The 22,828-nt window shown below is 44.3% G+C and overlaps 1 protein-coding gene across 2 annotated transcripts in view, besides 2 other annotated features; it reads right to left on the bottom strand.

The window, feature by feature from the left end:
- TULP3 (TUB like protein 3) overlaps positions 1-22,198 on the bottom strand; it is a 50,248-nt gene extending 28,050 nt beyond the window's left edge. For both annotated transcript variants that reach the window (NM_003324.5, NM_001160408.2), the window contains exons 1-2: positions 22,101-22,198; positions 3,509-3,560 (exon numbers count right to left, since the gene is read on the bottom strand). In NM_003324.5, the coding sequence (NP_003315.2) occupies positions 3,509-3,560; positions 22,101-22,141 (93 nt within the window). In that variant the 5' untranslated portion in view covers positions 22,142-22,198. The remainder of the gene's footprint in view (positions 1-3,508; positions 3,561-22,100) is intronic.
- Positions 22,303-22,352: a silencer, noted in NCBI's record as "silent region_4136". NCBI's record gives its function as "represses an Ori minimal core promoter by ATAC-STARR-seq in GM12878 lymphoblastoid cells {active_cell/tissue: GM12878}" and the evidence as "EXISTENCE:reporter gene assay evidence [ECO:0000049][PMID:35858748]".
- Positions 22,623-22,802: an enhancer, noted in NCBI's record as "active region_5816". NCBI's record gives its function as "activates an Ori minimal core promoter by ATAC-STARR-seq in GM12878 lymphoblastoid cells {active_cell/tissue: GM12878}" and the evidence as "EXISTENCE:reporter gene assay evidence [ECO:0000049][PMID:35858748]".

Genomic DNA, 22,828 nt, shown 5'->3' with positions numbered 1-22,828 from the left:
GAATGTGGAAAAACTGGCTGGGCACAGAGGCAGAGGTTGCAGTGAGCCGAGATCGTGCCACTGCACTCCAGCCTGGCGACAGAGGGAGACTGTCTCAAAAGAAGAAAAAAAAAAAAAAAGAACGTGTTAAGGGAAAGAACAAGATCTACCCTATGTCTCTAGCACTAAGGCAGGGAGAATGTCCTGGGCACATGCGAATCTCCTTCCTTGGGTAGGTATATCCCTTCAGAAGAGGTGAATTAATCCTACTATCATATTTTAATGTGTCACTATAAATAGCATTTTACAAACTCTACCTGCTCTGATTTCGAATATACCAAGCTATGTCCCGATCGCAAACTTCCCACAGATATTTCTACTGGGAATGTAATGACCAGCTAATTCTCGAACACAGTTCACTAGAAAGTGATTCTCAGATTCAGATTCATCACTTACGAGACTGGCTAATACAAACCAATCCTCGGGAGACTGATTAACTTTGGTTGCTTTTAGCTGTTTCTTATCCTACAGAGCTCATGACCAGTGACACTTAACCAAAGGGACACTGCCATAGCAGAATTCCTGAGTCTAATCTAATGTACATCTGGGCAGGGCTTCCCCAGCCTCTGCCACCTCCATTGAGGGTAACTGCTAGGATGTGCCACCGTCACTGATGGGTGTGCACTGTATCCCTTGGGCAGGCTGGCCTACTCTGGACTGTGAAGCTCGCACCAAGATACTGCCCACCTGGGATGCCTGGGCTGAGCTGTAGCCTGCCCTTCCTCAATATGCCTCCATCTTGGCTCTAACTTAGACACGCTTAAGATTCTTTCTAACATTCTATTATTTTATCCAGTCTAACTTCACTCTACAGATGAAATGACTGAGGCCAACTGACTTTAAGAACTTTACCTAAAATCACACAGCTGAATAATGGCAGAGCCAGAACTAGACCAAAGCCTTCTGATTCCCAGCCCAATGTTTTCTTCATTATGTGGTGCTGCCTTTGTTGCTGTTATACACCATTTGAAAGCTCAGCTTGCATTTGTGGAAATTCCCTTACCCCCTACTGAGTGACTTCCTTCTTAAGCACTTATTGGCATTTCATGGCTCTAACAACATTCTCATACACTTTTTTTTTTTAAGAGATGGAGGGTGGTGTCTTGCTGTGTTGCCCAGACTGAACTAAAACACTTGAGGTCAAGGGATCCTTCCTCCTCAGCCTCCCAGGCAGCTGGAACTACAGGTGCACACTACCATGCCAGCTTCTCGTACGTTATTTAACACCAGAATGTATACATCTGATCCAAAGAGATTTTTTAATTTTAAAATATTCCTTTGAAACTCCTAGGCATGTAAAAAAAACTCCTATAAAATTTTATGTCTCTAAATTCACTGACTCAAAAAAAAAAAAAAAAAAAAAAAAAAAAAAAAAAAAAAAAAAAGGCTGGGCGCAGTGGCTCACGCCTGTAATCCCAGCACTTTGGGAGGCTAAGGCGGGCGGATCATGAGGTCAGGAGTTCGAGACCATCCTGGCTAACACAGTGAAACCCCATCTCTAGTAAAAATTAAAAAAAAATAAAAAATAAATTAGCCTGGCGTGGTGGCAGGCGCCTGTAGTCCTAGCTACTTGGGAGGCTGAGGCAGGAGAATGGCGTGAACCCGGGAGTTGGAGCTTGCAGTGAGGCAAGATTGCGCCACTGCACTCCAGTCTGGGCGACAGAGTGAGACTCCGTCTCAAAAAAAAAAAAAATTCACTGACTATCTCTGGAAGATATATTAAAAGTCAGTGATAGCCACTGATAAAGAACTGAGCCAAGCAGAGAGAGATGTTTTCATCAAACATCTATCTTATATTATTTGAATTCTTATGTTTTTATTACCTATGTAAAAACATAATTTAAAAAAAATTGTGCTACAAAAAGGCTTACAAAAGTTACAACATTTATTATCACATGTAGCATTTTCAATGAAAAGAATACAATTACAAAATATTAGGGCCACCTTAAAAAAAAAAACTCAGAAAATGTATCTATATACAAAATTTAAAGTTTGATGTCTTAGAACATGATCCATAGATGAACCATAGATTTTATCTAATGTTAACAAAGTAGGTACAATTGGGCCTTACGATACTAGGATGCCTAAGAATAAAAATGAATAAAAATAAATCAAAGATCTACATTTTTGTGCCCACTTCTCCCTAAATACAATTTGCTCTGCAACAGAATGAAGAAAATAAAGGGCTCATCACAATTACTGTGATCTCTGCGGGCAGAGGGATAAGTGTGTATGTATATGTGTGTGTGTGTAACAGAATTTTCTCCAAGATCACAGTAAATTAGTTTGTTTCTTAGTTTTCAGTAATTCCACCTTTAAAATAATTTATTAGGCTAGAAGTCCCATTATTAGTTCCACCAACCACATAAAGAAGAGAAGACAAAACTTTAGAGACTTTTAGTCACCTATTGAATCCAGACATCTTGACTGTTAACGATCCTAGCTACAGAATTTGCTGAATTAGAATAGATTCATAGAAAAAAGCGAATATAAATGCAATGTATGTTGGGTATACGTTCTAAGCTACCTGAATATGATGATCACAGCATGTAACAACACAAAACCGTTCATTTAGTCCTTCCTTTGTTCAAATACCTAATGAAGGATTACTACATGTCCAGCACTGTGCTGAGAACTTCTGATATAATGGTTATCCAAAACATGCTTGGCTCTGTTCTCACAGAGCTTAGTGTAATGGAGAAAACAAACTAAATGTGCCAGCAGCTCTGTGAAGAAAATTATTCTCTATGCGATGGGGATTTTTTTTTTTCTTTGAGACGGAGTCTTGCTCTGCTCACTGCAAGCTCCGCCTCACTGCAAGCTCCGCCTCCTGGGTTCACGCCATTCTCCTGCCTCAGCCTCCTGAGTAGCTGGGACTAGAGGTGCCCGCCACCATGCCCGGCTAATTTTTTGTATTTTTTAGTAGAGACTGGGTTTCACCGTGTTAGTCAGGATGGTCTCGATCTCCTGACCTCGTGATCTGCCTGCCTCGGCCTCCCACAGTGCTGGGATGACAGGCGTGAGCCACTGTGCCCGGCCCTGCGATGGAGATTTGAAAGCAGCACGGCAGCAAGCTCGGATATGCATTTTCGCATAAGAACACCATCTTGCAGTTAAGTGAAATGACATCGTAGAGAGGTACTTAAGGTAGCAGAACCAAATTACTACACAGAAATACAATGTTAACACTCTTCTAATTCCTCAGAAAGAAAGGCGCCAAGGAATTTTTGGTGATTGTAAATCCAAGGCCAGTCTTGTTGCTGACATCCTCAAAGCACTTTGGTCTTGCCATAGCCAGAGCCTTGGTTCAGCAACCACTAACTCCAGACACTGCTTCACAGGTAACCACCCGAGCCTTCTCCTTTCCAGTCTTCTTTCCATAGCCCTGCCAAAGGCTTCAGAGCCAAGACCATCAGCATCACGGTCAGTATAGTTGGCCACCTATTTCAAAAGAGGAGACTCTGCTCACCTGATAATCCAGCTTAGCCTGTCGCATCTTCATCATTTCTTCATGGAAGACACTGTTAAAAAAAAAAAAAATAAAGCAAGTATATAAAAAGAAAACGCCTTGTCAATTTCATCTTTTTATGTATGTACTCTTTTGGGCTATTTGGAACCAATCGATTCTGCCTCATAGAAGGCATCAGCTTCTAGAGGCTACCCACACTGGCTACAGGAGGACTTCCCACCCTTAACACCACACTTATTCCAGAGGACCTGAGGAGACTGAAATACTCCAAGGACAAGAAAAAGATGAAAACACAGACCCCACGCATGCAGGGATTTCCTTTTGTTTTAAACAATGTCTTAGGTACGCATTATGCTCTGAACACAGTGGTAGGCATTTTACATGGTATTATTCTGTTTATTCTTTCAAACAGCCCTAGGAACTAGGTACCATTATTTTTTACACTTTGAAGATGAAGAAACAGACTTGAAGAGTCATGTGTAAGGCTAAACAGCAGAAACAGACCCCAATTCTGGTCTCCTTCTGGCATCTAAATTACATCTGAAAAATCAAATATATTTATTTATTTTTTGGAGTTAGTTCTAAGACGGGAAAAATTTCACTGTGTATAGCATCTTACTAGAGCCTACTGAATTCCTGAAGATCTGGGCATTTCACTAAACTTACTCAAGTCTGTCATTAATAACACTTACTATGCCAGTCATCAAAGGAGAGGAGGACTGTAAGTATGGATGAACAGATGACATTTATTGCCACTGAGAGACAGATTTGCTTGAAGAAGGAAAAAAACAATAAAAATGGAATAAAACCAGTCTTCAGCTGATAAACCAAGCCCTTCTGAACATTTAAAAACTTTTTGGGCCAGGCACACGGTGGCTCACACCTGTAATCCCAGCACTTTGGGAGGTCAAGGCAGGTGGATCACAAGGTCAGGAGTTCGAGACCAGCCTGTCCAACATAGTGAAACCGTCTCTACTAAGATACAAAAAATTAGCCAGGTGTGGTGGCCACACCTGTAATTCCAGCTATTCAGGAACTGAGGCAGGAGAATCGCTTGAACCGGGGAGGTGGAGAAGAGCAAGATCACACGATTGCACTCCAGCCTGGGCGACAGGGTGAGACTATGGCTCAAAACAAACAAACAGAAAAAAACAACCTCTCTCTGAAGCCTTTTCTATTTTTGACAATTTCCTAATTTAAGACTTTTATTTTGTGACTCGGCATTCTTGGAAAGTGTGAAGTATGAAATAAGGCATAAATGGTTCTCAATTATTTGGATGATAAATGTTTACTGGGAACTTAGCGCCAGAAAAACTGGAACTACAAGGTGCTATTTAAGAAGACAAATTCCATTACCACAAAGAGAAACATGGTTTTTGCTACATTTGGGGCAAATATACCAAAGCATTTATGTATGGCTTAATGGTGTGCCACTATATTCCTACATTTTAGAAGGTTCTATGCATCTTACTAATGCATAGCAACTTCAATTTGCATGCTGTCTCAAAGATTCTTCCTCTTCATCACTTGGGAGGCACGTTTAACAACCCTCACACAGACGTGCAGGTGCTTTGTGATTTTCTGACATGCCTCTCTATTAATTCACTCATGACCTTCATGTTTAAAAAACAAATAAAAAAACACCGGGTGCTCAATAAATCTCTTTTCTCCCAGCTCCAAAGAGGAACAAATAAACAAAAATGTCAGATACAACAGCCTCTGGCCTTGACTTTGTGCCCCCCATGTTTCACCTACATATGTTCCTATGTTTCTTTAATGTTTTTTATCTGCAGTCATGTATTTTTAAATCCCAAATTTAAAAATCCTTCATTAATATAGTGTGACAAAAAAAGATAAAACAAAAACAAAACTAGAGTGCTAGAACATTACAGGTGTTCAGTGTGTATAAGAATAAAAAATTTTTTTTTTTTTTGAGACAGAGTCTCTCTCTCCTGCCCAAGCTGGAGTGCAGTGGCTTGAACTCATCTCACTGCAACCTCCGCCTCCCGGGTTCAAGCCATTCTCGTGCCTCAGCCTCCTGAGTAGCTAGAACTACAGGCATGCACCATCATGCCCAGCTAATTTTTGTATTTTTTTTTTTTTTTGGAGACGGAGTCTCACTCTGTCGCCCAGGCTGGAGTGCAGTGGCACGATCTCGGCTCACTGCAACCTCTGCCTCCCAGGTTCAAGCGATTCTCCTGCCTCAATTTTCCAAGTACCTGGGACTATAGGTGCACGTTGCTACACCGGGCTAATTTTTTGTATTTTTAGTAGACGGGGTTTCACCAGTCAGACAGGATGGTCTCGATCTCCTGACCTTGACCTCGTGATATGCCCACCTCAGTCTCCCCAAGTGCTGGGATTACAGGTGTGAGGCATCGTACCCGGCCAATTTTTGTATTTTTAGTAGAGATGGGGTTTTGCCATGTTGGCCAGGCTGGTCTTGAACTCCTGACCTCAAGTGATCTGCCCACCTCGGCTTCCCAAAGTGCTGGGATTACAGGCGTGAGCCACTGCACCTGGCCGTGTATCAGTATAAATTTTTTAAAGTTCTGCATAAAATGACATTATATAGCAAAAGGAAAACTTGGAGAAAAAAGTCCACTGTTATGGACTAGTAGTTTCATTTTTTAAAATTTATTATTTATTTATTTACTTATTTTGAGATGAAGGGTTCACTCTTCTTGCCCAGGCTGGAGTACAATGACGTGATCTTGGCTCGCTGCAACCTCCGCTTCCCAGATTCAAGCGATTCTCCTGCCTCAGCCTCCTCAGCAGCTGGGATTACAGGCGTGTGCCACCACGCCCGGCTAATTTTTGTATTTTTAGTAGAGACGGGGTTTCATCATGTTGGCCAGGCTGGTCTCAAACTCCTGACCTCAGGTGATCCACCCACCTCGGCCTCCAAAAGTGCTGAGATTACAGCCATTTTTTTTTAATTAAAAAAAATTAGGCCAGACGCAGTGGCTCATGCCTGTAATCCCAGAACTTTGGGAGGCCAAGGTGGGTGGATTGCCTGAGCCCAGAAGTTCGAGACCAGCCTGGCCAACATGGTGAAACTCCGTCTCTACTAAAATACAAAAAATTAGCTGGGCATGGCGGCATGCACCTGTAATCCCAGCTACTCAGGAGGCTGAGGCAGGAGAATCACTTGAACCCAGGAGGCGGAGGATTCAGTGAGCCAAGATTGCGCCACTGCACCACTCTAGCCAGGATGACAGAGCGGGACTCCGTCTCAAAAAAAAGAAAAAAGAAAGGGCCAGTGGCTCACGCCTGTATTCCCAGCACTTTTGGAGGCCGAGGCCAGCGGATCACGAGGTCAGGAGTTCAAGAGCAGTCTGGCCAACATGGTGAAACCCCATCTGTACTAAAAATACAAAAAATTAGCCGGGTATGGTGGTGGGCACCTGTAATCCCAGCTACTTAGGAGACTGAGGCAGGAGAATCGTGTGAACCTGGGAGGCGGAGGTTGCAGTGACCCAAGATGGCGTCACTGCACTCTAGCCCAGGTGACAGTGCAAGACTCTCTCTCAAAAAAAAAAAAAAAATTTTTTTTTTTTACACAGGGTCTGGCTCTGTCGCCTGGGCTAGAGTGCAGTGGCATGATCTTGGCTCACTGCAATCTCCACCATGAACTAGTATTTTCAAACAGCTGCTGCTACAAATCTGCACTCTGTTCTCAACACTAAACCAAAGGTGTGATGACTTCTGGCATGGGGGAAAACAAATCATTCCCCACCCATGCTAAAACTTCCTCAAAAATGCTAAGTTCTGGCATATGACTAAAGTTTTCAAACGTTTCTCTTAAGGCCTCAAATAGTGAAAAAAACAGGTGTGTCTCTGACAGTACATCTAGACACCACTTATTCCTTTCATCAAGCCTGGGCAAGCTGAACAGACAATCTGAATAAATAGGGTATAATCAAAGCATTTTGACCCGAACAGAAGAGACAATAAATACATGTTAAGTAACTGTAACATTTACAAGTCTCCTATATATCAAAAGTCACACTTTCTCCGAGTTCTAAGTTTAAATAAATTATAATTTAAAAAGTTATACCTTTAGTTAAATTATAACCTATAAAGACATTTTATAAGGCCGGGTGCGGTGGCTCATGCCTGTAATCCCAACACTTTGGGAGGCGGAGGCAGGTGGATCCCAAGGTCAAGAGATCGAGACCATCCTGGCCAACATGGTGAAACCCCGTCTCTACTAAAAATACAAAAATTAGCTGGGCGTGGTGGTACATGCCTGTTGTCCCAGCTACTCGGGAGGCTTAGGCAAGAGAATTGCTTGAACCTGGGAGGTGGAGGTTGCAGTGAGCCAAGATCACGCCACTGCACTCCAGCCTGGCAAGAGAGCGAGACTCTGTCTCAAAGGAAAAAAAAAAAAGATATTTTATAGACATATTCAATCTGAACTAAAATTTCTAGTCTAATCTGGAATATCATCTTAATAAATTTACATTTTTCTGATTTAATATTCTTTTTTTTTTGAGACAGAGTCTCACTCTGTCGTCCAGGCTGGAGTGCAGTGGCACGATCTCAGCTCACTGCAACCTCCACCTCCCGGATTCAAGCGATTCTCCTGCGTCAGCCTCCCAAGCAGCTGGGATAACAGGTGCCTGCCATATTTTTAGTGGAGACGGGGTTTCGCCATGTTGGCCAGGTTCGTCTCAAACTCCTGACTTCAGGTAAAGATGATCTGACCACCTCGGCCTCCCAAAGTGCTGGGATACAGGCATGAGCCACCATGCCCGGCCTGTGTTAATATTCTCTTTCCTTCATTTTAACTTAGTTATTGAATAGTAAGCCTAACCATAACCAAGCCTGGTTAATAAATCAACACAAAACAGAAAGAATTTCTACAGGAAAAAAAAAAGTGGAGTAATTCTTTTTCCTCTCATTTTTCTCAAAGAAAATTTCCTATTTTCTTGGTACAAACAGGGGAAACCCTAAACACACATCTTGAAGAAACACAGAAACACTCAAGCGTGGCAGAGGAGAATGCCCATAGAACACCATTCTCTTGAACTATTCTCCATTTACCAACCAGTAAAGGCTAAACTGAAGATACCTGCTGGGCATGGTGCCATGAGCCTGTGGTCCCAGCTACTCAGGAGGCTGAGGTAGGAGGAGTGCTTGAGCCCAAGAGTTCAAGGGTGCAGTGAGCTGTGACTGTGACCCTGCACAGCAGCCTGAGCAACAGAGCGAGATTCCATCTCAGATAGATATAGGTGAGACAGACAGATAAAATAAAAACTAACTGAAGATAACTACAAGGCCTTACAACACTGCACAGTGTACAGAAAGAGAATTTTCTGACAATGTGGTGAACCTTTATTTACGGACACCAAAAAAACCTAGACTAGGAAAGAGACATTAGTGGGAAAACTGACAAAATTCAAATAAGGCCTGTGAATCAGTTAACAGTACTGATTCTATATTAATTTCCTGATTTTGATAATGTGGCTATGGTTATATAAGATGTTAACATTAGGCCAGGCACGGTGGCTCACGCTTGTAATCCCAGCACTTTGGGAGGCCAAGGCGGGCGGATCACGAGGTCAGGAGTTCAAGACCACCCCGGCCAACACAGTGAAACCCCGTCTCTGCTAAAGATACAAAAATTAGCTGGGCGTGGTGGTGGGCGCCTGTAATCCCAGCTACTCAGGAGGCTGAGGCTACAGAATCGCTTGAACCCGGGAGGCGGAGGTTGCAGTGAGCCGAGATCGTGCCACTGACTGCACTCCAGCCTGGGCAACAGAGCTAGGCTTCATCTCAAAACAAACAAACAAACAAAAAAGAAGACGTTAACATTAGGGGAAACTTGGTGAAAGGTATAGAGGGATTCTCTAATATTTTTGCAAATTTTCTGTAAGTCTAAAAAGATTTTTTAAAATCAGGTATAAAAAATATTAGTGATGAATCTAGGTGAAGGGCATAGGTTTATCAACTGTGCTTTCTTGCAACTTTTCAGCAAATTTCATTTTTTTCTTTTTTCTTTTTTTTTTTTTTGAGATAGAGTCTCGCGCTTGTTGCCCAGGCTGCAGTGCAGTGGCGTGATCTTGGCTCGCCGCAACCTCCGCCTCCCGGGTTCAAGCAATTCTCCTGCCTCAGCCTCCCAAGTAGCTGGGATTAAAGGCATGCACCACCACGCCTGGCTAATTTTGTATTTTTAGTGGAGACGGGGTTTCTCCCTGTTGGTCTGGCTGGACTTGAACTCCCGACCTCAGGTGATCCACCCGCCTCAGCCTCCCAAAGTGCTGGGATTACAGGCATGAGCCACCGTGCCCGGCCAAATTTTTCAAAATAGAAAAAAAGAAAATATACATTTTCAAAGAGAAAAAAAGAAAATATACATTTTGGTAATTTTTTTTTCATTGTTGTGGACTGGCTACCTTTAAAAATCCCACTGCTACCAGGTGCAGTGGCTTATGCCTGTAATTCCAGAACTTTGGGAGGCTAACGTGGGGAGATCACTTGAGGTCAGGAGTTCGAGACCAGCCTGACCAACATGGTGAAACCCCATCTCTACTAAAAATACAAAAATTAGCCAGGCATTGTGGTCCGTGCCTGTAGTCCCAGCTACTCTGGAGGCTGAGGCAGGACAATCACTTGAACCCAGGAGGTGAAGGTTGCAGTGAGCTGGGATCACGCCATGACACTCTAGCCTGGGCAACAGCGCGAGACTCTGTCTCAAAAAAAAAAAAAAATCCCATTGCCCTTTAATCTAGCACCTAAATTATGCTCACACAGTATTTCTAGGGAATGAAGATGGTATGAACAATGAAGAAATTTGCTAAAGATAAGTAACAGAGAAACTTTGAGCATACTTTAAAACGTTACTCTCCATTGCTAGTCTAGTGCTATACCCAACAGACCACACTGCCAAGTACTTTGAAGCACTGAATAATGTTACTAATGACCCTCAAGAATCTATGATTATTCGGGACTCTCAATGTTCCTGTCAACTTCTCTCAGCCTGTTAAGTGTAAATTTTTCGAGCTGCCAGTAACACAAAATCTATTGCCACTAAACAATCAAGAGTGTTTCTTGCTGCTTCCTACACTGTGCCAGATAAGGATGCTGTAATCAGCACTCAACTGCAATTTGGCCACTGATGCAGGAGGCTAAACAGGCTCCTTCTGTGGTACTGGAGAGAGTAAACACCATCCTTGCCAGGAAAGCAGCAGGATAAGACTTGCAAAAATAAAGCCTGTGAGCAGCCCGTTGCTTTTCCTGATAGTAACTTGAGTGAAGGCTTCCTTTACTGACTACAGTATTGCTTCAGAACATCACAAATTGATGTTTTTTAGACTTAGAAATTAGATATAGTTATCTTCTCTCATTAATGCAACAAGTGCCAGTGTGCAGTGATAAAGAGGACAACTTGGCAATTTAGAGAAATTCATAATTGTAAATATTTAGTAATCAGCTGCTGCATGAAGCTAAAATAAATATAATTTACAAAAATTTGGTTCAACTCAACCTATCAGAAATAAACATAGTATGTGTGAGACAAGGAATTACTGCAAAGATATTACACAGGAAAGATAAAGGAAATAAAAGGTTTACCTCAAGAAAACAACTACAAAAAACAATTTTTTATTCTTAAATCTAGTTATTCATGCTTATTTGAAGATTGACTAACATCCTTTAGAAGAAAAACTGTAGGTATGATTATGACTTTTACTTAAATTCACATACTTAAAAATCAGCAAGTTGGACTTCATCAAAATGAAAAACTTTTGTTCTGCAAAGATACTGTTATGAAAATTAGAAGGCAAGCCACAAACTAGGGAAAATATTTGTGAAACATATATCCAACAAAAAATTAATATTTAAAATCTAAAGAACTCTTACAGATTAAGACAAACAACCTAACTAAAAATTGGAGCCAGGCACGGTAGCTCACACCTGTAATCCCAGCACTTCGGGAGGCTGAGACGGGCATATGACTTGAGGCCAGGAGCTGGAGACCAGCCTGGCCAACATGGTGAAATCCCATCTCTACTAAAAATACAAAAAATAAGCCAGGTGTGGTTGTGCTTGCCTGTATTCCTGGCTACTCAAGAGGCTGAGGCAGGAGAATCGCTTGAACCCGGGAGGCAGAAGTTGCAGTGAGCTGAGATCACGCCACTGCACTCCAGCCTGGGCAACAGAGTGATACTCTGTCTCAAAAAATAAAATAAAACAAAATAAAAATTGGGCAAAAAGCCTAGGCAATATAAGGAGGCCCTGTCTCTACCAAAAAAAAAAAAAAAAGAAAGAAAGAAAGAAAGAAAAAAAAAATCAAATTAGCCAGGTGTGGTGGAGCGCTCCGGTGGTCCCAGCTACTTGAGGAGAATGAGGCAGGAGGATTGCCTGAGTCAGGAAGGTCAAGGCTGCAGTAAGCCGTGATTGTGCCACTGCACTCCAGCCTGGGGAACAGAGACCCTTTCTCAAAAAAAAGAGGTGGGGGGAGGGGGCCCAAAATATTCACAAAAGAACTTTTCCGAATGGGTAATAAGCACATGAAAAGATATCCAATATGATTAGTCATTAGGTAAGTGTGTACTGAAACCACAACATGGCCAGGCACAGTAGCTCACGCCTGTAATCCCAGCACTTTAAGAGGCAAGAGGATCGCGTGAGCCCAGGAGCTCAAGACCAGCCTGGGCAACATGGTGAAACCGTCTCTACAAAAAAAAAAAAAAAAAAAGTATTTCGGCTTGGTTGCGCATGCCTATAGTTCCAGCTACTTGGGAGGCTGAGGTGGGAGGATTGCTTGAGCCCAGGAGGTTGAGCTATCGTCACACCGCCACACTCCAGCCAGGGTGAGAGAGCAAGACACTCTCAAAAAACAAAAAATAAAAATAACTGCAAGTAGAAAAAAAAAAAGTATCTGCAAGGTCTACAGGAATAGAAGAATTCCAGAAGGATATACACAAACTATTAACAATAGTTACCTCAAAGGTAGGGTGTTAAAAAAAAAAGTATTATTCAAAACAGATGTTTTTGAGTTTAAAAAGAGTACTTTATTAATTCTACCAAGACATCAGCTGACAAGGGTAGCAGAATAGGAAAGCTTGCCATCTCCCTTAGGCTTTACTTTTGTAATTTCATAGACCCAGTCACCGATCATTATTCCCTTTCAGTTTTTGGACATTTAAATTTTGCACTAATAATCTGTTATTGATATATTGATGTTTATACAGGTTACTGCAGGCAACATTTCCAATCCAAGTGCTTCAAACAGCCTAAGAAAGTGCTTTTATGCTCTAAATGAAATTGAGGAGAAAGGAGGAAAGTACGGTCCAGAGACCATCTACAGAACAACGTATCTTTAGAATCCAAGTTTTTTTGTTTTTGTTTCTGAGACAGAGTCTTGCTCTGTCGCTAGGCTGGAGTACAGTGGCGCGATCTCGGCTCACTACAACCTCTTCCTCCCAGGTTCAAGCTATTCTCCTGCCTCAGCCTCCCCTGTAGCTGGGAACACAGGAGTGCGACCACGCCTGGTTAATTTTTTATTTTTTTTGTATTTTTAGTAGAGACGGGGTTCCAACACATTGGCCAGGCTAGTCTCGAACTCGTGATCTCAGGTGACGCGCCTGCCTCAACCTCCCAAAGTGCTGGGATTACAGATGTGAGCCACCACAGCCGTCTCCAAGTTTTTTTTGTTTTTTTTTTTGTTTGTTTTTTTTTTGAGACGGAGTCTCGCTCTGTCGCCCAGGCTGGAGTGCAGTGGCATGAGCTCTGCTCACTGCAAGCTCCGCCTCCTGGGTTCATGCCATTCTCCTGCCTCAGCCTCCCGAGTAACTAAGACTACAGGCACCTGCCACCACACCCGGCTAATTTTTTGTATTTTTAGTAGAGACAGGGTTTCACTGTGTTAGCCAGGATGGTCTCGAACTTCTGACCTCGTGATCCGCCCACCTTGGCCTCCCAAAGTGCTGGGATTACAGGCGTGAGCCACCACGCCCGGCCCCCGCCTCCAAGTTTTATCTTGAAAATTAAATTCTGGGTTTTATTCCATAAGGTAACGGGTTCCATTTTAATATAAAAACAATCTTCAATGCTCTCTTAAATAATATTCACAGTATGAATAACTATGACCTTCCAGGAAAAAATACTTTTATGATTTAGCACAGGGGCTGCAAACTATAGCGTGTGGGCCAAATCTGGCCTGCCGTCAGTTTTTGTACTGCCTTTGAGCTAAGAATGAATTTCGCTGTTTTTTTTTTTTTTTTTTTGAGACGTCGTTTCGCTCTTGTTGCCCAGGCTGGATTGCAATGGCGTGATCTCAGCTCACCACAACCTCAGCCTCCTGGGTTCAAGCGATTCTCCTGCCTCAGCCTCCCGAGTAGCTGGGATTACAGGCATGGGCCACCATGCCCGGCTAATTTTGTATTTTTAGTAGATACATGGTTTCTCCATGTTGGTCAGGCTGGTCTCTAACTCCTGACCTCAGGTGACCCACCCGCATGAGCCTCTCAAAGTGCTGGGATTACAGGCGTGAGCCACTGTGCCCAGCCTATGAATTTCACATTTTTAAAAGGTTAAAAATATCTGAAGAATAATATTTTGAGACATGTAAAAATTATATTAAATTCAAATTCCAACCAGGTGCAGTGACTCATGCCTGTCATCCCAGCACTTTGCGATGCCTATGTGGGCAGACTGCTTGAGGCCAGGAGTTTGAGACCAGCCTGGGCAACATAGTGAGACCCGTCTCTACAAAAAATTTAAAAATTAGCCAGGTGTGGTGGTGCACACCTGTAATCCCAGCTACTCAGGAGGCAGAGGAAGGAGGACTGCTTGAACCCAGGAGTTCAAGGCTGTTGTGGGCTACGACTGCACCACTGCACTCAGCCTGGGCACATAGTGAGAACCTGTCCCCCCAGCCCAAAAGAAATTATCACTGTGCAGGAAGTAATGAATAAAAAGAAAAAAGTCTTCAAATTCCAGTGTCCATAAAGTCTTATTGAAATAGACACATTCATTCACTTACCTATTATCTATGGCTGCTTTTGTGCTACAACAGCAAAACTGAGTAATGAGCAACTGGGACAGAGACTGTATGGCCCACAAAACCAAAAACGTTTGGTTAAGACCTTCGCAGAAAAGGACTACTGGCCAGGGGTGATGGTGCATGCCTATAGTCCCCGCTGCTAGGGAGGCTGAGGCGGGAAGATGGCTTAAGTCCAGCAGTTCAAGACCAGCTTGGGCAACAAAGCAAGACCCCATCTGAAAAAAAATAATTAAAAAGGTCTGCTGACCCCTGGCTTGGCCTATATTAGTTCAAACTAATTGTAAGTCCCCATTTAGAGACGTGTGCTATGTGGTTACAGCACAGTTCCCAGTACAACTTAACCTAGTAAAGCCTCAAGTTTCCTAATTTACAAAGTGAGGACAATGACACTTAACTCAGAAGGTTATTGTGAAGATTAAATGAAACTTGGCTCATAGTAAGCACTCAAACTGCAACTGCTATTATATCTTTTTTTTTTTTTTTTTTTGAGATCTAGTTTCCGCTCTTGTTGCCCAGGCTGGAGTGCAATGGCGCGATCTTGGCTCACTATAACCTCTGCCTCCCATGTTCAAGTGATTCTCATGCCTCAGCCTCCCAAGTAGCTGGGATCACAGGCATGCGCCACCACACCTGGCTAATTTTGTATTTTTAGTAGAGACAGGGTTTCACCATGCTGCCCAGGCTGGTCTCTAACTCCTAACCTCAGGTGATCTGCCTGCCTTGCCCTCCCAAAGTGCTGGGATTACAGGCATGAGCCACCGCACTGGGCCTAGAATTTTTTTTTTTTTTTTTTTTAAGAGACAGGGTCTCGGGCCAGGCAGAGTGGCTCATGCCTTTCCAGCATTTTGGGAGGCCGAGGTGGGAGAATCACTTGAGGCCCGAGTTCAAGACTAGCCTGGGCAATACAGCAAGACCCTATGTCTTGAGAGAGAGAACAAACGAACATGACAGACCAACAGACAGACAGGGGGTCTCACTATGTTGCCCAGGCTGGTCTTGAGCTACTGGCCTCAAGTGATCTCCTTCCTCCTGCCTCAGCCTCCCTAAGTGCTAGGATTATAGGCCTGAACCACTGTGCCTGGGAAGATTTTTGTTTTACAATACTTCTTAATACTACAAATGAATGTGTTACCTTAATCTTCACTTCAGTGAGAAGACTAATGATTTCATCATAATACTTTATCACCTTTCAAAAGCTTTCGAATGTTGGAAACCCAGAAATTTCTAATAATTTCCCCTGTATTAAAAAAATCTTTAGGCTGGGCGTAGTGGCTCATGCCTGTAATCCCAGTACTTTAGGAGGCCGAGGCAGGTGCATCACCTGAGGTAAGGGGTTCGAGACCAGCCTGGCCAACATGGTGAAATCCTGTCCCTACTAAAAATACAAAAATTAGCCAGGGGTGGTGGCAGGCACCTGTAATCCTACCTACTCAGGAGGCTGAGGCAGGGAGAACTGCTTGAACCCAGGAGGTGGAGGTTGCCATGAGCCGAGATCCTGCCACTGCACTCCAGCCTAGGCGACAGAGCGAGACTCCAAAAAAAAAATTTAAAAGTCCAAAATTGTATTGTTATTGAAACATTGTTAAAATGTGTTGTCACTCTGCTAGTTGCACTTAAGTACAGTTCTACTTAGTGAATATTTAATACTGCCTGCCAGGAATTATATTAAATATATATTATTTTTCACATATGATGTGTGATAATTTTCACGATAACCTTGACAAAGTAGGCACTATAATCTCATTTTACAGACAGATATGAAACTCATAGATGCTCTAAATGAATTTCGGGAGAAAGGAGGTGAACTCCTTTCATATGAGTTTCATATCTCTCTGTAAAATGAGATTATAGCACCTACCTTGTAGATTTATTGAAGTTTCTTCCTGCAAAGCTAAATAGCAATAATTTTATTTTTCCAGGAGCATATTTGAAAAATATTTCTTGCTTTGTTACAGCCTTATTTTCTACACATCACAGGAAAGCAATTTTAAACTTACAACTATAGTTCATATTCTAAAGGTCAAACAGCTGATCAGCGAAAGAGCCCAAATTCAATCACAAGTCTCACTCCCAATCTACCTGAATGTGTTAAACCACACGACTGAACACGTGTATTAAAATGGTCAGCAGAGACAGGAATTTCATTCTCTGGTATTTCAATATGTTCATTAAAAATGCCAGCTGACTTGCTATTTTTAGGTAGAACTTCCAAGCCAGTGAATGGATTTTTAAGCAGCCCTGGGGAGGAGTGCCCTGAATAACGACATTTAGGTCAACCATACTGCATATACAACAGGGGTCCCCTAAGATGATAACACCACATTGTCAGCCAGGCACAGTGGCTCACGCCTGTAATCCCAGCACTTTGGGAGGCAGAGGCGGGTGGATCACTTGAGGTCAGGAGTTCAAGACCAGTTTGACCAACATGGTAAAACCCCGTTTCTACTAAAAATACAAAATTAGCTGGGCATGGTGGTGCACGCCTGTAATCCCAACTACTTGGGAGGCTGAGGCAGGAGAATCACTTGAACCTGGGAGGCAGAGATTGCAGTGAGCCGAGATCATGCCATTGCACTCCAGCCTGAGTAACAAAGATGCGACTCCGTCTCAAAAAAAAAAAAAAGTATTCTCACTGTACCTTTGCTATGTTTAGATATGCTAATACTTACCAGTGTGTTCCAATTGCCTACAATATTCAGTACAGTAACAGGCTGTATAGCTTTGTAGCCTAGGAGCAACAGACTGTACCACAGGGCCTAGGTAGGTAGTAGGATATCCCATCAAGGTTTGTGTACACTATGACGTTCACACAACAAAATCCACTAATGACACATTTCTCAGAATGCATCCCCATCATTAAGTGGCAAATAACTGTATAGAGTGAAAGAGGCATCAGATTTCATCATGTTCAAACTGATAACAATTTCAGATAATTGTGGAAAGAGCTATTAACAAAGTATGTTTCCTAACTCAATTGACAAATAGGTTCACCTTGTCCAAATCCTAAATGTCAATATTCGAAGGCCATGTTTTTACACATACTGACACACCAAGAACACATCTGGCTTGAACAAAATATTGCTTCTGAGAAAAGACACATAAAGGTCATATGAGAAGTGTCAGAAAAGAATTCCTTTGACATCTATCCTTCCTCATCTAGGGAGAAATGTTAGTATTCTAAGCTCAGCTGTCCTCTACTTGAAAGACGGCCACAATCTGGAGCTAACTTAATTGAAGCCAGGGAATGAACATCCATTTCCTAGGAGGCCCATTTAGTAGAGACACAATCAGAGCAGGGAGAACTGCCTGGGGAGAGGGAGGCAATGAGAAGCAAAGGCTGGCCGCTGATTTGAGCATTCCCATAGCCCCAAAGAATGCTGCAGGGAAAACTATTTTAGAGTAAACCCCTCCTGATTTTGCAAGTACCACACAGCAAAAGCAAAAAGCATTCTTTTGAGTGAACTAAACAAAAAGGCTATTTAAGATGTATGATTTAATCCAGAAGTTAAAAGAATGCATTTATTACTTGTAGATTCAAACAGACATTACTCAGAACTTAAGTTCGTTTTAACTTTTGCCCAATTCTCCCTTCTCAGGGGTTATATTTTCTCTCTTCGGGAATGTTATTTATTTTCACTATTTCTTATTTTTATTTCATTTTATTTTATTTTTCAAATGGAGTTTTGCTCTTGTCGCCCAGGCTGGAGTGCAGTGGTGTGATCTCGGCTCACCGCAACCTCCGCCTCCCAGGTTCAAACAATTCTTCTGCCTCAGTTCCCGGAGTAGCTGGGACTATACGCACACACCACCATAACTGGCTAATTTTTGTATTTTTAGTAGAGACAGGGTTTCGCCATGTTGGTTGGGCTGGTCTTGAACTCCTGACCTCGTGATCTGCCCACCTCCGCCTCCCAAAGTGCTGGGATTACAGGCATGAGCCACTGCACCTAGCCTATTATTGAGCTTTTTATCTTGACAGATCTCTTTTTTGTGTGCGTGCGTGTGTGTGTGTGTGTGTGTGTGTGTGTTTTTGAGACGGAGTCTTGCTCTGTCACCCAGGCTAGAGTGCAGTGGCACAGTCTTGGCTCACTGCAACCTCCACCTCCCTGGTTCAAGCGATTCTCCTGCCTCAGCTCCTGAGTAGCTAAGATTATAGGCACCTGCCACCATGCCTGGCTAAGTTTTGCATTTTTAGTAGAGATAGGGTTTCTCCATGTTGGTCAGGCTGGTCTTGAACTCGTGACCTCAGGTGATTTCCCCCCCCCCGCCCCGCCCCCCCGCCATCTCGGCCTCCCATGGTGCTGGGATTACAAGTGTGAGCCACCATGCCCAGCCTACTGTTTATATTTCTAAAGAGAAATCATGGTATATGGACAAACCACCGACTGGGATTTCTTAGATGACTCCAGCTCACAAGGTCACACCACAGTGGGAAGCACGCCTTCAATTCTCAATTCTCTATCACTTACAAAAGGCCAGATAGGGCTCAAGTTCCAGCACCAGCCAACCCCCGTCATCTCCAGGGAATCTATATTATAAAATGCCTAGCCTCAACAAAGGTCCTGAGTGTTGTTTCAAATTTCACCTCCAATTTTCACTAAACATTTCTGATATAAGAAAATAGGCCAAGCCTGGTCGCTCACACCTGTAATCCCAGCACTTTGGGAGGCTGAGGCAGGAGGATCACTTGAGACCAGGACTTCAAGACCATCCTGGGCAACATAGTGAGACCTTGTCTCTACAAAAAAATAAAAATTAAAAAAAATATTTGTAGTTAATAATTTCTCTATTTTGTTGAAAATAAATCTGCTTCATGATAAAAGTTACATAATTCCAAGAAAAAAAAAAAACACAGAAAACCTAAAAGTTGGTTGTTATCCTTACATTGAAAGGCAGTAATACAGAAAATTCTATCAATGTATTTCATCAAAAACATTAAACAGCCAGGCAGGGTTGGGGGGCTCACGCCTGTAATCCCAGCACTTTGGGAGGCCGAGGCGGGCGAATCCCCTGAGGTCGGGAGTTCAAGACCAGCCTGACCAACATGGAGAAACCCCCTCTCTACTAAAAATATAAAAATTAGCCGGGCACGGTGGCGCATGCCTGTAATCCCAGCTACTCAGGAGGCTGAGGCTGGAGAATCACTGGAACCCAGGAGGCAAGTAAGCCAAGATGGCGCCACTGCACTCCAGCCTGGGCGACGAGAGCGAAACTCCGTTTGGAAAAAAAAAAAAAAAAACACATTAAACACACAACCTGAAGCCCAAAAAGAGAAAAAAGCAAGAGACTCCCTCTTAGTAACAAATGAGTTAAACACTGATAGAAGTTGCACTAACATTACAGAGGGCAGGAGAAACATTTGGTGACTCACACATTCCCCTTTGATGTCAATTTTACAATTTAGGGCCAAGTGCAGTGGCTCAGGCCTGTAATCCCAGAAGTTTTGGAGGCTGAGGCAGGCAGATCACTTGAGCTCACTTCGACACCAGCCTGAGCAACATGACGAAACCCCACCTCTACAAAAAATACAAGAAATTAGCCAGGTGGTGCCACGCACCTGTGGTCCCAGCTACTAGGGATGCTGAGGTGGGAGGATCGCTTAACCTGGGGAAGAGGTTGAAATTAGTTGAGATCGCCCACCACATCCTAGCCTGGGCGACAGAGTGAGACCCTGTCTCAAAAAAAAAAAAAAATTAAAATTAAAAGAAAAGAAAATAAAATTTAAAGAGCTAGTTTCTTTCGGAAGAACAAGGAGGGGGCCAGGCGCAGTGGCTCACGCCTGTAATCCCAGCACTTTGGGAGGCCGAGGTGGGCAGATCACCAGGTCAAGAAATCGAGACCATCTTGGCCAACATGGTGAAGCCCCGTCTCTACTAAAAATACAAAAATTAGCTGGGCGTGGTGGCGCGTGCCTATAGTCCCAGCTACTCAGGAGGCTGAGGCAGGAGAATCACTTGAACCCGGGAAGCGGAGGCTGCAGTTAGCCGAGATCGCACCACTGCACTACCGCCTGGCGACAGAGAGAGACTCCGTCTCAGAAAAAAAAAAGGAAGGAAAAGCCTCTTGGTCCCAATTTCAAAGTCAATCCCGCATCCCGTTTTTTTTTCCCCAAAAAATCTGAGTCATATCAAACATCTGGTACTCATGAAATTTACTACTTTAAATTCATGGAATTAAAACTGAGCGCCCACAACTGAACAAATATTTTCGGAATTCAACCAGAGATGCTGAATACTAACTTTATCTCCTCTACCACTTACACCTGTAAATGTAGTTTTCTTCCTCGACTTGGGAAAAAAAAAAGCACAGTGAACAAATTTCAGAGTGCAGCTATCACCTCAATAGAACTTGACGAAAAAGGAAAATACATGTTCTTTACCCCCAACAACTTTGTGACAATTTTTAAAAATGGTTTAAAATTGTTTAAATATCTACTAGTGGAAATATCAAACTAAATACTTACACGTCAAATCATTTTTTTTTTAAGGTGACAGGATGTCACTGCGTTGCCCAGGCTAGCGAGCTCAGTGGCCCAACACAGGAGTTTGGAACTCCTGGGCTCAAGGAATCCTCCCTCCTCAGTCTCTCGAGTCGCTGGAACTACAGGCGCGCACCACCGTGTCCGGCCAAATTTTAATTGATTGACTGATTGATTTTATTTTATTTTATTTTTTTCTAGAGATGGGGGTCTCGCTATCTTGTCCAGGCTGGTCTCGAACTCCTGAGACCAAGCGATCCTCCTGCCTTGGCCTCCCAAAGTGCTGGGGATAATAGACGTGTTCCAAGGCGCCTGGCCCCAAATCTTTGTCTTGGTAATGGAATAAAAAGCGGGGTATACAGTTGGCGTGTAGGGCTTAAATCCTCAGATGACGCCAAAGTTTCTAACCAATGATTTCAAACGGCTTCCCATTAACTTCTCATTAACCTAGCGAACAAGAAAGTGACACGCTGAGATTTTGGATCCTTTTTTTTCCGAGGCTCTCCCTCTGGCAGAGAAAGAGGCGCACAAACAAGGGGTGTGGCCCACTGGCAAATCAGTCAGACCATCCCGAATCAGGGACAAACACTGGAAAGCAGAGAGGAAAAAGAAGTTTCGCGTTTCCGCTCCTCGGACTCTGCTCCAGAATTCAGCTTTACCCGTCCGAAGCAGCGGCGTCAGAACAAGCTACTAAACATCACCCGCACCGCCTCCCGGGAGGGGCTGGGTCCCCTCTCGGCTGTGACACCGCCGGGCAGTGGGAGCTGAGCGGGGCCAGCGCCTCTCCCCCGAGGGAAACCCGAGGCCCAGAGGGGCCGAGGGAGCCCGTCACGAAAACTCCAGAAGTTCCTAAGCAGGGACCTGAACCAAAGGTCTCTGCCCACGGCGCGGGATGTAGTGCCGCCGCTCCACTTGAGAAAGGGGTCCCCACACGGGAGTAGGGCGAGGGGGTCGCCTCCCGCCGCCGAAACCAGTCCCTCCCTGAGTCGCCAAGTCCCGAGTCCCGCCCTCTCCCCGCAGGGCTCCCGGAGAGGACCTCCGCCTTCTCGCTTCGCCCCTCCGCCTCGCTCAGGAGGAGACCTGCCACGGCCCTGTCTGACCTGTCGCCGCTGGGACTGAGCCGGCAGCGCGAAGCCTCCATGCCCGCCACCGAGGAAGCCCCCACCACGTACACACTCTTCCCCGCCGTCGCTAGAGTGGCTAGGCTGGCACGCCGCCGCGTCCCGCCTCCTGGCAACCGCGTTCCACACTGTCGCCGCCGCCGATTGGTCCGTGTTCTCGTGGCTCCTGTCTCATTGGCTATTGCCGGGGCCCAACGATGCGGGAGGGTTGCTAAGGGGCGGGAGGCGAGCGGGAGTTAAACGCGCCTGCGCGGGGGTGGGGTGACGCGAGCTAAGGCTTGGTCCTCTGGAGCGCCTCGCGGGGCCGGTACTGAGCGGGAAGACTTTGTTTTTGCCTGGGCCTCGCCCGCCGCGCGGCCAGCAGGCGAGTCCGGTCAGAGGAGTCTCCTATACCGCACCAACCGCCACGCACGCAACGGCTCCTCGCACCCCCGCCATTTTTACCGAGCCCACCCAGAGCGCTTCCCGAGGTCTGCCCTGTGAGGATGTACAGACCTCTGCCGCTTCCCATTCTGGCCCCTGCCCTGATACCAGCGGCCTTCGTGGACCCCCTCTGGTACCCTCTCCACTCCATCAGTCACTCCCAGTGAAACGCATCTTCCATAGGCTGGCCTTGAACTTCAACTGCACAGAACTTAAGCTTCCCCTACTCCAGCCCAAGCTTTTAGGTCATTCCTAGACCTGCTCTACAGACTCCCCTAAAGCAC

The sequence above is a fragment of the Homo sapiens genome, chromosome 12, assembly GCF_000001405.40.
Source record: "Homo sapiens chromosome 12, GRCh38.p14 Primary Assembly".
Taxonomy (NCBI): Eukaryota; Metazoa; Chordata; class Mammalia; order Primates; family Hominidae; genus Homo; species Homo sapiens.
Note: the sequence above shows the minus strand (reverse complement) of the source record. Positions and strands in the feature narration are given on the sequence as shown.